Below are 14403 nucleotides of genomic sequence, written 5' to 3'. Positions count from 1 at the left end.
TTAATGTGGCATATTATATTGATTTGCACATGTTGAACCCTTCTTGCATTCCAGGAACAAATCCATCATAATTATGGTGGATGATACTTTATAGTGCTGTTGAATTCAATTTACTGGTATTTGTTGAGGATTTTGCATCTACATTCATTAGGAATATTTAATTTTTTTTCTTGTAGCACCATTGTCTGGCTTTGATATTAGGGTTATACTAGCTTCACAAAAAGAGTTTAGAATAGTTCTTTCTTCTTTAACTTTTTAGGAATGTTTGAGAAATATTGGCATTAATTCTTCCTTAAATGTTGGCAGAATTCTCTAGTAAAGTCATCTGCACCTGAGATTTTCTTTGTTGGAAGATTTTTGATTACTAATTTAAACACCTTACTAGCTATAGATTTGTTCATATTTTGTATTTCTTTTTGATTCAGTGTTGTTTGTTGTATATTTCCAGTCATTTGTTTTTTTTCTAGGTTATCCAATTATTACCATAATAATTCACAGCAGTCTCTAATAATCTTTTTTATTTCTGTGGCATCAATTGCAATGTCTACTTTTTCATTTTTAATTTTATTTGGTTGAGTCTTTTCTCTTTTTAATTGCCATATTCCATTGTATAGTAATACCACAGTTTTTTTTTAATCTATTCACTTGCATTGGTTCTACTTTCTGGTTATAATGAAAATATGTGTGTGAAAATATCCTTTATTTGCTTAATTTTTATTATTTCCTTCCTTTTGCTGGGTTTGGGCTTGGTTCTTTTTTTTAGTTCCTTGAGTTGTAAAGTTAGGTTGTTTATTTGAGATCTTTCTTCTTTTTTAAGGTAGGCATTTATTGCTATAAATTTCCCTCTTTAGTACTGCCTTTGCTGCATTTCTAAGTTTTGCTATGTTGTGTTTTTTTATTTTTTTGTCAGCTTGTTTTCTAATATTCTTTTTGATTTCTTCTTTGACTCATTGGTTGTTCAATAGTATGTTGTTTAATTTCCATATATTTGTAAATGTTTCCGTTTTCCTTCTACTATTGAATTTTTGCTTCATCCTACTTTTGGTCAAAACAGGTTCTTGATTTCCTTTGTCTTAATTTTGTTAAGACTCTCTTTGTGACCTAACATTTGATCTATCCTGGAGAATGTGTCAGGATATGTCACTTTGCCAGATAATTTATATACCTCCATTTTTGAAGGGTTGATATTTGGAAACTTATTTTCTTCTTTTTATTAGGCCATGTTTCCCTGTTTCCTTGTGTGCCTTTTAATTTTGTGTTGTTATTCTAGGATTTGAAAAAAATAACCACTTCTCCTTGTCTTTACAGACTGGTTTTGCACTGGGAAATCCTTTCACCAGTCAGCCCAGTTAGAGATTCTGAAGTGTGTCAAATCTTTCTGTGAATGTATTGTCTCTGAAATTGTGTGTAAATTCTGAGAAAAATTTGCAGGTCTTTCTTCAGGAGCATGTAATCTCTTGCTCTCTTTGTTATCTATCTGTAGTACTGTAGGTTATCTGGAGTTGCTATAACCCCCTAGCTCTCTTTTGTTCTCAGCAGTCCTCAGACATGAAGAGTATCCAGTCAGACAGAAAACAGTCCATCAGGCTGACTGGGAAAAGTTGAAATTCTGGATGCACACTCCAGCTTTTTCCTTCTCCAAGGGGAAGCCAGGAGTTGAGGGTTTTGTCCCACTCATTGCATATTGATCCAGGGAAGGATGATATGATAAGTGAATGTATGCTAACCCAAACTTCCTCAACTCATTTATTCTTAATATCCCCAACCTGGAAAGCTTTCCTGTTAACGCTTAAATTCAGGCAAGACAGAAAACAATCACTTGGCAACTCCCCTGAAGTCTGAACACTGAATGTGTGTTGCAGTATTCTCTTTCACTTCTGTGGGGGAATCAGGAACTGTAGAGTATTCTCCCAATCTTGTTATACTGAGTCACAGGAGGAACGATGGTGATTGAGTGACAGTCCAAACTGTGGCTTTATCAGCAGGCATGCAATCTGGCATCCTTTCCTGTTAGCACTTAGATTCAGGGTAGATAGGTGCTAGTGCCCTCCCAAAAAGTCAAAATGTTGGATGTATGGTCTAGACTTTTCTTTCTCTCCCTAGAGATGAGCTGGGAGTTTGGAGCTTTCTCTCCATTGCGTTGTACTGCTGAGGGAGTATGAGTGAGTGCAACAAATTTACCTGCTGGTTTTGATGTGCCTGGCTTGAAGCCTACCAGGGAATCCAGAGTCTTTAAATTCTCCTCTGAACTTTTCACGAAGGGAATTTATCTGTGTATTATTATTGAGCTGGTGTCTCCTTGGAGAGGAGGGTGGAGGGGCTTTGAGGCTTTCTATTTCATCATCTTGCTGGTATCCTGACAGGAATTTTAAACGGGGCTCCTTTCCCCACATTGTTGGAGAATGGATCCTGGCTGGTTATAGGTACTCATGAAATACTGGATAAATTATTATTTATCATTTACTTACAAAAACTTAAAATTTTTATTATGGGAAATAAGTTTTTAATCACTATTAAAGTTTGTTGAAGCACTAATTCATTACTGTGAAAAGTGGGGAGGGGTATAAAAATCAAGCATTTGTCTACTTATCTTGTTTTTCCTGTCCAAACTGTGTTTTGGTGTAATCAATACACATTTGGGAAGAAATGTTCTTTTAGAAATTATTCCAGCTAATAAATGAAGAAAAAAATGAAAGAATGTAGTACCCTGTTATAACACCTAGTAAAATAATGGTTGAAACAAGTTTTCTAATGAATGCTAAAGCTATTAGTTGAAAAGTTGATGCAAACCTTTACTGTGGAAGAATGTAGCTGACATTAATTTCTTATCTGAATTACATTTTTTGAAACTTTATGACTCTTTGAATTTAAAAGGGATTTTGGTGTCATTATTTTTTCTTTTACAGTTTCTTTTTTCACATAAAAATCAACTATTAACTGATTGGTTTTATGGTCTTTTGGAAAGAGACTATATAAATTCTGATTTTTGTATGAAGATCTCTTTTACACTTTCAGAGGAAATTTTATCTCTGGTAAGCTCTGATTTCATCTTTCAATTTTATTTTGAATTTCTTTCTTTGTCTTTTGTCTTATCAGCACCTTGTTTAATTTAAAATATATTCAGTGTCAACAAGGAGTTAAATCAGGAAACTAATTTATCCAGAAATGCAAATATTTTTGCAGATATTTTATCCTTTGTTTTAGATCCTTAATATGTAATTTCAAAAAATGAAATATGGACAGTTTGCTTGATTTCTGAGCATAGTCAATGAATAATTTTACCAAAATAAGCAAACATTTTTCGAGCTTTTTTTTTTTCCTTGAGACTGAGTCTTGCTCTGTCACCCAAGTTGGAGTAGGGTGGTGTGATCTTGGCACACTGTAAACTCTGCCTTCCACGTTCAAGCAATTCTTCTGCCTCAGCCTCCTGATTAGCTGAGATTACAGTTGCCCACCACCACACCCAGCTAATTTTTTTTTATTATTATTATTAGAGACGGGGTTTCATCATGTTGGCCAGGCTAGTCTCCAACTCCTGACCTCAAGTGATCCGCCCACTTCGACCTCCCAAAGTGCTGGGATTACAGGCATAAGCCACCACGCCTGGCCTGGAGCATTTTGATATAATGAATTACTGATGAAACCTTTTAATATAATGTTAGACAGCCCATTTAAAAATAATCCAGTATAATTATTATGTTCTTTATATGACTACATTTCACAGTGAAGTAACTTAGCACTCTGTATTTATAATGCTTTGAAAATACATATTAGTTGCTGATTTTATATTCCAAACAGAAATTATAGGACATCTTATTATATAAACACAAGAATTCAATATCAATTTTCACACTTTAAAACAATAGTCTTGGCCCTGCGCGGTGGCTTGCGCCTGTATTCCCAGCACTTTGGGAGGTGGAGGCAGGCGGATCACGAGGTCAGAAGATTGAGACCATCCTGACTAACAAGGTGAAACCCCGTCTCTAATAAAAATAAAAAAAAAATAGCCTGGCGTGGTGGCGGGTGCCTGTAGTCCCGCTACTAGAGAGGCTGAGGCAGGAGAATAGCATGAAGCCAGGAGGCTGAGCTCGCAGTGAGCCGAGATGGCGCCACTGCACTCCAGCCTGGATGACACAGCGAGACTCCGTCTCAAAAAAAAAAAAAAACTTTTCAATTTTTAAAATTTTTCTCAAACTACCCATCAGAGAAGTTTAACATCTCCATTTACATTTCTATGATGTTATACAGAAATATTTTATTTCTCTCCCCAGAATAATATAGGCAAAATCTCTCCCTCTGACTATACACACCTGGTATTGTTATTTTAATTGTTTAAGGATTTCTATCTCTTCCTATTCTGAATGATTACTCTCTTTTTGAGCTTTCTTGCAGTAACCGTTTTAAATAGTCTCTAGACAACTTTCTGGATTCTAGGATCCACATTAATCTTCCTGCCGTTGCACTTTCTGTCTTCTCCAAGAGTCTAGCTTTTATGAGAACAAAATAGTCATATCTTCTTTAGAGAAGAGTTTCCAGTGTAAAGACTAAAAGTTTAAGTTAATTGTAAATGAAAAACTCCAGTTAGAGGAGAAAATATTTCATTTTCAGATGACTGTTTCAGAACACAATTACTATATTGAAGACGACTCTCACTATAGCCACATTAATTACATCTATTTCAATTTAAGGAGACACAGCAACAAATCTTACCTCTCTGAAAAGAAATCAAATCTGAAACATGGTGGAGAAGTATGAGTCCTGACCAAGAGATTTTCTTGGAAGACATAGATTGACTTGTAGCAAATGTTATCTGAAGTAATAAAATCTTACACTTTATTTTTATAGAAAACAGACAATAAAAATCTTTCTAAATTAATGCATAGGTACTTTTGTAAAAATAACGTAAAAATGTCTGATTAACTTACATACATAAGTTCTTTAAGTTCCAAAATAAAGAATGAGAGAAGTTTATAGTTTGTCTGACTTGTATTCTTTTTGACCCATAATTAATTCCATAGATAGAATAATTTATAATGTAACTTTAATCATTACAACCTTTGATCAAAAATATACAGATATTCTTAATTTTTCTTCTCATATTTACTTAAATTATTTTTCATTGCTTTAATATTTCTTTATTCACTGGTCCCACAATAATTCACTAAGTTTGGTATTTCTTGGTTTTGTAAAAAATTTCCCAATTCAGCTCCTGAGCACAATTAGTACTCTTCTCTCCTCTTCCTTTGTATTCTTTTTAGGTCCAACCCCATGGCTTTCCTTTTGTACTCTCTAGGCCAAGAATGTTCTTTCTTCTTCCTACCATTTAACCGTTATTCATTTCTCATGGCTGTATTAGTCCGCTTTCACACTGTCATAAAAGACTTTCCTGAGACTGGGTAATTTATAAAGGAAAAAAGCTTTAATTGACTCACAGTTCTGCATGCTGGAGAGGCCTCAGGAAACTTACCATGATGGTGGGAGGAGAAGCAGACACATCTTCTATGGTGGCAGGCAAGGGAGAAAGTAAGCATATGAAGGAGGAACTGTCAAACACTTATAAACCCATCAGATCTCTTGAGAACTTAACTCATTATCATGAGAACAGCATGGGGGAAGCTGCTGCCATGATCCAATCACCTCCCACCAGGTTCCTTCCTTTATATGTGGGGATTACAATTCAAGATGAGGTTTGGGTGGGGACACAGAGCCAAACCATATCAATGGCCAAAATAATATATATTTTTCTTTTCTCATCTATTCCTGACTATGTCCTTTCTGAATTTCTTCCATACTTTCAACCTGACCCACAAAAGGCAGAGCTTACTCATATTTCTTATCCTGTTATTTAAAAATTAATTTTGCTTGAGTTTGAGAATAATAGTCAATAGGCAGGGGACAAGCAGGCCATCAACAGCATCCTTTATTTTGGCAGAAATTATTCTGAATCAAACTTACCTTGTCATGGGTATAATTACATGATCTCAAAAAGAATTAAAAATCTCTATCACTTGAACCACAGTTTCCCTTAACATATTTAATATACTTCATTTTTGTCAGCTAACAAATGTTAGCTAATATTTTTACCATCAAGAAGAATATCCTTTGGCAAAAGTATCTCTGTTTGCTTAGTACATATTGAGAGAGTTGGACCCCATGGCCTCCCAACTTGCTCAGGAATGGAGAAGCTAGGGTATCCAGATAGGTAATCTTCTGTTATGATACTTATATACTGACTGTACACGGTGTCAAATCTGGGTCTTGACCTAGCAGGCACACATTAACACAACATGAAGGAAGTAAAAAGTCATTTATGAAACTACAATGGCTGCAGTAGTTATTTGGTAGTCCTCTTTTTAAAAATTTCCTTTTAATTGAAATGAAAGTTTATAAGTGATCATACTGTAAATGATATGACATTTTATAATGTTTTATTACAAAAACTCAAACACTCCAGGAGTGAATTAAATGTAAATTGAAATCTTCCTCTCTCTACAATTCCACTTGCCTCATCATTTCCTCTATTCCTTAGAAATCCACCGACAATTTAATTAGAACTCAAATACTCTCACTCATAAAACACATATGTGTACTTTTTTAAAAATGAGATTATGCTAATTATGATTTGTAGTGAACTGATATTTCATTTGAAAATACATTGGATATCTTGCCGTCATTTAAAATGACTGTAAAATGTTAATTTTTACCAGTATTTTTATAAAACATATCTATTGAAAATTCAAGTCATTACTATCTTTGCATTTTTTTAAACTTGTATAATGAACAGCTTTGCAAATATTAGTTAGCACACTGCTTCAATTATTTAATAGAGATCTAATCTGAGGAGTTCAGAATTTTCAACTCTTTCTCAGGACCATTCCTTTGGAGTGATTCTGGAAATGTAGGTTATTTTTGGTTGTATCAATGATGGAGACATGGCAAGCACTTACAAGTAAAGGGTAGAGATCACATGCAGCATGCATTGGGCCAAACAGTGCATTGAGACAAACAGTCCTATATAAGGAAGAATTGCTTCTTATGAAGGCCCAATAGTACCTCTTGGAGAAACATGGCAACATGAAGTATTTCACGGTCTACTTTAAGAAATGTTGCACTATTTGTGCATTTTACAATAAATATCTATTGATCTTATAATCTGCAAAATTATAATATACTATTATTTAAAGTTCTTTTTTGTTTTGTTTTGTTTTTGTTTGTTTGTTTGTTTTTTTTGAGACAGAGTGTTGCTCTGTCACCCAGGCTGGAGTGCAGTGACACAATCTTGGCTCAATACAACCTCCATCTCCCGGGTTTGAGTGATTTCTTGTGCCTCAGTTTCTCAAGTAGCTGAGACTACAGGCACATGCCACCATGACCTGCTAATTTTTGTATTTTTGTGTTTTTAGTAGAGAAGGGGTTTCACCATATCGGCCAGGCTGGCCTTGAACCCCTGTCCTCAAGTGATCCACCCACCTCGGCCTCCCAAAGTGCTGGGATTACAGGTGTGAGCCACCATGCCTGGCCTATTATTCTAAGGATTTAATCTTCTCCCATCCCAACAGCAATGGAATTTTTCAATAAATACAAAAAATTATTTCTTTGAAAGGACAAACAAATTAGATGACAAAAAAGAGAGAGACTATTAAAATATAACAAGAAAAATGGAAAACTGGATAACTGAAAATTTCAAAAGAATGTAATATGTACCTTTTGGTCATTATATTTGAAAATATATATGAAGAGGTTAATTTTTTAGGGAAAATTTAACTATAAAAATAAATCTAGAGAAATGAGATCATTTGAAGATACCAACAATAGAAAAAAATGAAACCGGTGTAAAGTTATAGCACCTTTAAAAGCTCAAGGCCCAGCTGTGTCTCAAGCAGGCCCTCTTAAACTTAATGGAAAAGTTAATTCCTGCATTCTTCAAACTATTCTTTTGGTTAATGGGAGCAAAGGAAGCATATCTCTCCCTCCATTTATTTCTTAAAACAACTGAAAACCAAAAGAAAAATCAATATACAAAGAAAAAAAAACTCCACCAATTTTGTTAAAAATAAACACCATTAAAAATTATAAACCAAACTTTGAAGACTAGTTGTTAGTGTCATTACAATTTAGCCTTTCTTCAAAAAATGATGAGAGTAGATGCAGGCACCTGAGCAAATATGGCATATTAAACACATAGAGAGACTTATTTTCCCACCTGAAACTATAACATGATGACAAATGGCTTATTCAAGTGATATAAAAAGAAAACAGCAACATTTTTGAAAACAGGAAGTCCATAAATGGCTGGTAACTGACTTAGCTTAACAAAAAGTGTAAAATTGTAAGTAGCGGGGAAATCTGATTCTACAAAATGTTCATAAATTGGTTGCACGGGATACCTCTGAAAGTAGAAGTAAAGGTAGGGCTAAAACCCAGGAAGATTGGTTGAAAGACTGTTTCCAATGTCCACTCCATCAAGCCGCATGAATGCCTCTAGGTTCTGCTGGTGGAAAAGTAGACATTTGCTGTCTAGAGAGGTAACAAGGAATCTTAGTACTGGCAATATCATCTTCAATGGTCATACATAAATTAGGGGTGCAAAATGAACAGTAACTACTGAAAGCTAGATCTCCCCAATTTTCACCTCTATCTAGATTCAAAACACAACAGTCTATTAGTCTTATATCCTCAGAGAAGACTGGAAGACTCTAGTTGGAAGATCATGATCAGCCCAAAGGAATAGACCAGTGGATATGTCATGAGGAGCTTTTCTGGGAAAACTTCTCGACCTGATTGCCCTGTCTGGAAGCCACAGTTGACAATTATTACCTAAGAAACTGAAGCTTACCATAAATGTTTATTGTATTGCTCTTGAACGCAAACAGATAACAAACAATCATGAGATTCTAGGTACAGCCAATAACAAACACAGAAACAAAAAATAAACAAAACAACTGAAAGTAAACAGAGTCTATGCAGTGTGGGAAAAAAGTAATTATTAATTTCCTCAGAGAGGGAAGATAAGATAATACAATAAGAACAAGGTGTGATATAAAATGGATATTCAAAAAAATAGAATTCTTAAAAATTAAGAAATTTATTGCAGAAATATATAACTTAATGGGAGATTTGGAAGGTAAAGCTGACTGCATCTGCAGAAAAGTTAGTGTAAACAGAGTTGGGAATGAGAAAGGGAAAGTTTAATGAATTAAATAATTGGTCCTATAGGGCCAGCAACAAAATACAGGCATTTGGGAAAAGAAAAAAGTAAAATGAAGTATGATATATGTAAATACTTTTTTGAAATGGGTAAGAGTTAAAGTGCATGAATTTCAGATTGAATGTATCCACGAGAATTCAAGCCAGTGGTGAAAATAGACCTAGACCAACGCACACACACACACACACACACACACACACCAGCACACTCAGGAAAAAAAAAAAGAAGAGACTTAAAATTTCCAGAGAAGAGAAATATAAATGGTCACTAGAAAACAAGCAAAGCCTTATAAATTGCAAAACAAATTATTTCTAATGCAGAATAGTATCTCCAACCAAACTAAATCAGATAGGAGGAAACAATAATAAGCATTTACAGCATGGCAAGATTCTAAAACTCTACATCCAATACATCCTATCTCAGGAATTTCTGGAGAAGAGTTTCACTGAAATGAGGAAGTAAATGAAGAAAGAGTAGGGTATAAAGTACAGGGAATCTCCTGATTATTAGATGTACAGTTTGTGTACACAGCAACCTGTGTAAATTAGAGTTATTTAGAAAAAAATTTTCAAAAAGATAAATCTGATAAAATGTCTAATGCTTCTGAATGCATTATGAGACTCATTAGAAAACTGGAATAGAGTTTGGAGTTGGTACTTTGATACATACATAGAAAAATGAAAAAAACAAAAATTTTAAAAAATTGTCAGTTTAACGGAAAAAATGTTGTGTAGACATGAAATTCAATCATTTATGCTCCATGTTTCAGGTGTGAGTAACATTTACCTAATTATAACAGTACTAGTGTTACTGGAAAAAGAGGTCCCGATCCACACTTCAAGAGATGGTTTTTGGGCCTCACACAGGAAAGAATTCAAGGTGAGTCACAGAGTACAATGAGAAGAAGACATAGTTTATTGAAAGCTACTGCCTTTTAGAGTAGGGTGTCCTCAGAAAGCAAGCAAAGGAATGCACCCTCTTTGTTTTCAGTTTTTTTGTTATAGGAGTTTTGTCTATGTAAAGACTAAATTGAATTGTCTATGTAAAGACTAAATTGGAAACAAAATAACAGGAAGAAGGAATTTATGCATAATCTTCAAATCATGAGGAGTAAAATTCATACAGGACCTACCGCTTAAAGAGTTTCATAGTGGTTACCAGTAGTCATTTTGTGATGTTTATCGATGTGATTCTTGAATGTAAAAAGGACTACATATAAGATTTCATATTCTGAATTAATGTGCAGCATATTATGTTAAATTGTTAACCAATTTAAAAAATTTTTGAGTTTAAATTAGAAATCTTGTTGTTCTATTTATAAATCTAGTACATTAAAAATTATTTTTAAGGGGGACTTTGATTAATGTTTTGTCCATTTACAACTTAGTTAATTAAACTCCCTTAAAGATTTTAAACTACATTTACAAATTTAATATGTTGAATTATCTTTATGAACATTTTAATTATCGGACTAACAAATAAAGCCTTCAGAGTACTTAAACAACCCTTATAGAGCTAATAAATTAAACTCACAAAATCATGAATGTTAAATTATCTTCAATGTTAAACCACTACTGGCAACTCGGTAAAACCGCTTATTATTTCAACTAAAAAACAACCCCAATATCTAAAATATTCTGTTACACATTGAAAATTGGAATGTAAAATGCTAATCTATATTTAAATACTAATACAATTATAAATAAATATCACATCTCTAAAGTATAAATATTATAGTTTTCATATACTTCATCATCTCTAAACTTTTTTTCAATGTTTTCCTGGGATAAAAAAAATCATAAAAACAATTACATTCTCTTAAGCAAATGAGGTTATCACCTCAGTGAGTTGTGGCTACTTTTTCAGGTTGTTTACCTATCAGAGATTTTGACTGGAAAATGAGATCTGGAGCTTCAGATACTCAGGGTAATTGTTTGTTTTTCCCTCATTAATATGGGAACAAATTCTAACATTGTAAAAGTTATGTTAATAGAGATTCCAAGCCCATGAACTCTAAGTGAAATGGCCATGCAATCCATGTTTTCTAGATCCATGTTGCCTATATCTTTAGCCTGATTTTAATATCTAACCTCCCTACTCTGATTATTTAGGTACTAGATTAAATTCAAAAATCTATTTACTGTATGATTCTTGACAGAGTTCTTTTTATATTTTTCATACCTGGTGAAGTCATAACTTTTCTAGATATTTAAATGACATACACATGTATTATTTAATCTCATGTATATATCTGATTCTGTGGTCACATTTCCCAAAGCCAGATAAATGACTGTAGCCAGACAGAAGTAGGGCTAGGTGTAAAAGGAGATATTCCCACAGATTATATAGTTGCTGTGTAGAGAAAACTCTCTCTGTTTTTCCTCTAGTCTCATGCCACAAAGATCAATCAGCAACAGAAAAGACTTCTGTGACCAAATGTGTGAGTTTTTTCCTCCATACATACACCAAGGAGTGGACACCAGCTGAGTGTCCTCTAATTCAGTTCTGACACTACACTATCTACCTGGAGATAGTGTCAGGTCTCACAGGTCAGTCCCCAAGACTGCCCACCCTCAAACTACCAGCCAGAAGTCCAGGCCTCTGAACTTCTGACCTGCTGGCTTCGAGTTGGCTTCTCAGGACCCCCTCTTTGGGTTTGATTAATTTGTTGGAGTGGCTCACAGAACTCAGGGAAACACTTACATTTCCTGGTGTTTTATAAAGGACATTGCAAAGGATATAGATGAAGGACACTTAGAGCAATTCATAGGGGAAGGGAGCAGAGCTTCCATGCCATCCCTGGGCGGGCCACCCTACAGGAACATCCATGTGTTCAACTACCCAGAAGCTCACTGAACCCTGTCCTCCTGGATTTTTATGGAAGTTTCATGATATCAGCATTCCTCCCTCCAGGGTATAGGGTGGGACTCTCTCTTGAGATGGTCTTAAGACCCACAACCAGAAAGGCAGGAACATAAAAATGAAAAAAGGCCATGAGAAGGTGAGAGGCCTGCTCCTGAGGCCTAATACACCCAATATTATAACAAAAGACTGTAACAAGTGCTAGGGGAGTTATAAGCCAGGAACTGTGGATGAAAACCAATATATATCATAACACCACAGTTGCTGAGAAAATATTCATGGAAAATAGACCTAAATTGATACTGCCTATTGACATAATTTACTTTACTGATCTTTTCCTTCACCATTTTAATAAATAGCTCAGAAAATAATGAGTCCCATTCAAAGATAATAATAGAAAAGATACCAGCACTGTGCCTGTGTAACATATATTTCATGTTAGAGAAAAGCAACAAAGACAATATAATATTAAAAGACAGAAAAAAATTACATGCCACATTGACTATCATTGAATCACAAAGTGAATACAAATTTTTAATGCATTGTTTCATTAAATCAAACTCCCCTTCCTGCACCAATACAACTCCTCTGATGTAAGTGACCTAAAAAGACATAAATAGGTTTTAAAGCAGATATAAGATAAATGCAATATATGTAGTGTGAGCTTAGGGAAAGATAAAAGGGAAAATATCTTTTATCTGAGAAATATATACCACACGAGAAACAGCAAAAATGAAGAATAGATATTTTCAAAATTTACTCAAATAAATGGTGTATAACAGTTTACACCATTGTAAATTGTAGAACAATTTACAATGTAGAACAATATTTATATTGTTCTAGGTATTACAAAATTTATAGTTGTTTGGGTAGAACAATATTTATAGTTGTTTGAAGGCAGACAAAGATGACCTAACATGTTGCCATGTATATTTTTTCCAGTTTTCCAAATTTGTTTTTATTGCTGGAAGGTTAGTTTGGTCAGAGTTATTTCACCATATCAGCAAGTATAATTTTCCAAACGCACACCCCTTACTTTTTGTATCTTATTTTTTATCCTTTTATTACATATTTTATAATATTATATATTCAATACTGAATTATACAGTAAATAAAAAATAAAATATGAACACAACAATTTCATACAAACGGTGAGTTTTTTTTTTTTAGTTGAAGCAGAAGTTCATGACTTGAAAATAGAATGATGCAGTAAAGAAATAAACTCTAGAACTCATTTTATGGAAAAAGTGAAAACAATTTGCAACATTAAAATAATTAATCAGAACTTCAATCCAGATTAAGAAGGAATAGAGAACAAATATTAAAATTGGAAGGCAATGAAAATATAATCACAGATATTGATCAAGTTATTAGATAAGATAATTTTCTTAATTTTACACAAATATATTGGAAACCCTGGATTATACGATATTTCCATATGAAAATATAAGTGACCAAAATGACAAGAGTTATAAAATCTCAGTATCTTATTAATGAAGAAAAAGATGTTGAAGATATAAAATTCTGAACATTCTCCTCTCAACAAACAGACAAATCAGCAAGCATGAACATTTTCAAGAAGAAATGTATCAAGACATGAAAGTACTGATAACTCAATGCTATTTAAAGTTTTCCTCTTCTAATTCTAGCTATGACAAGTTAATTTGTATCAGGCCATCCCACCTGGCAAGAACAATTATGAAAGCTGGGTAAAATTAATTAAAAATAAGTAGCTATTTAACGGCTTCTGATAGCAATCAAAGCATCCAGAACTTGAGTGTGTAAGCTCCCAGAAAGAAGAGAAACACATTGAAGTGATTTCAACATTCTCCACAGCCTTTCATTTGGATACATTTGCTGAGCAGATAGCTAAGAAGAAAATGGTAGCTCAGAGATGTTAGAAATCTGGTAGGCCTGCATAGACAACAATTGGAATTCATGACTATCATGGTGGCCAGGGCTTGATAAAGGGCCGGTAGAAACAATGCAATTTCATTTTGTTTTTCCTTCACAGCATTTTCTGATTCTTTAGCTGCAGAAGGTGAGCAACTAAGAAGCTTAGCATAAAATGGAGCTACCTGACTAAAAGGAAGTTAAGCAGACCTCTCAGCAAAAGGATAGACAAAATTGGAGGTCAGCAAGGAACAGAGGACCTAGAAATCTCCCTAGGCATTGGGACCCCTAAAAAGCTAATCCCTAGCTGAAAAGGCAAACTAGAAATTCACCAGCTGCCACAAAGACTGAAATCTAGCCTCAAGGCATTTCAGTCTGATTGGACCAAGATGATCTACCTCTAAGCCAGAAGAAAACTACAATTTCTTTGGAGGAAGATC

This window comes from Homo sapiens, chromosome 21, assembly GCF_000001405.40.
Source record: "Homo sapiens chromosome 21, GRCh38.p14 Primary Assembly".
Taxonomy (NCBI): Eukaryota; Metazoa; Chordata; class Mammalia; order Primates; family Hominidae; genus Homo; species Homo sapiens.
Note: the sequence above shows the minus strand (reverse complement) of the source record.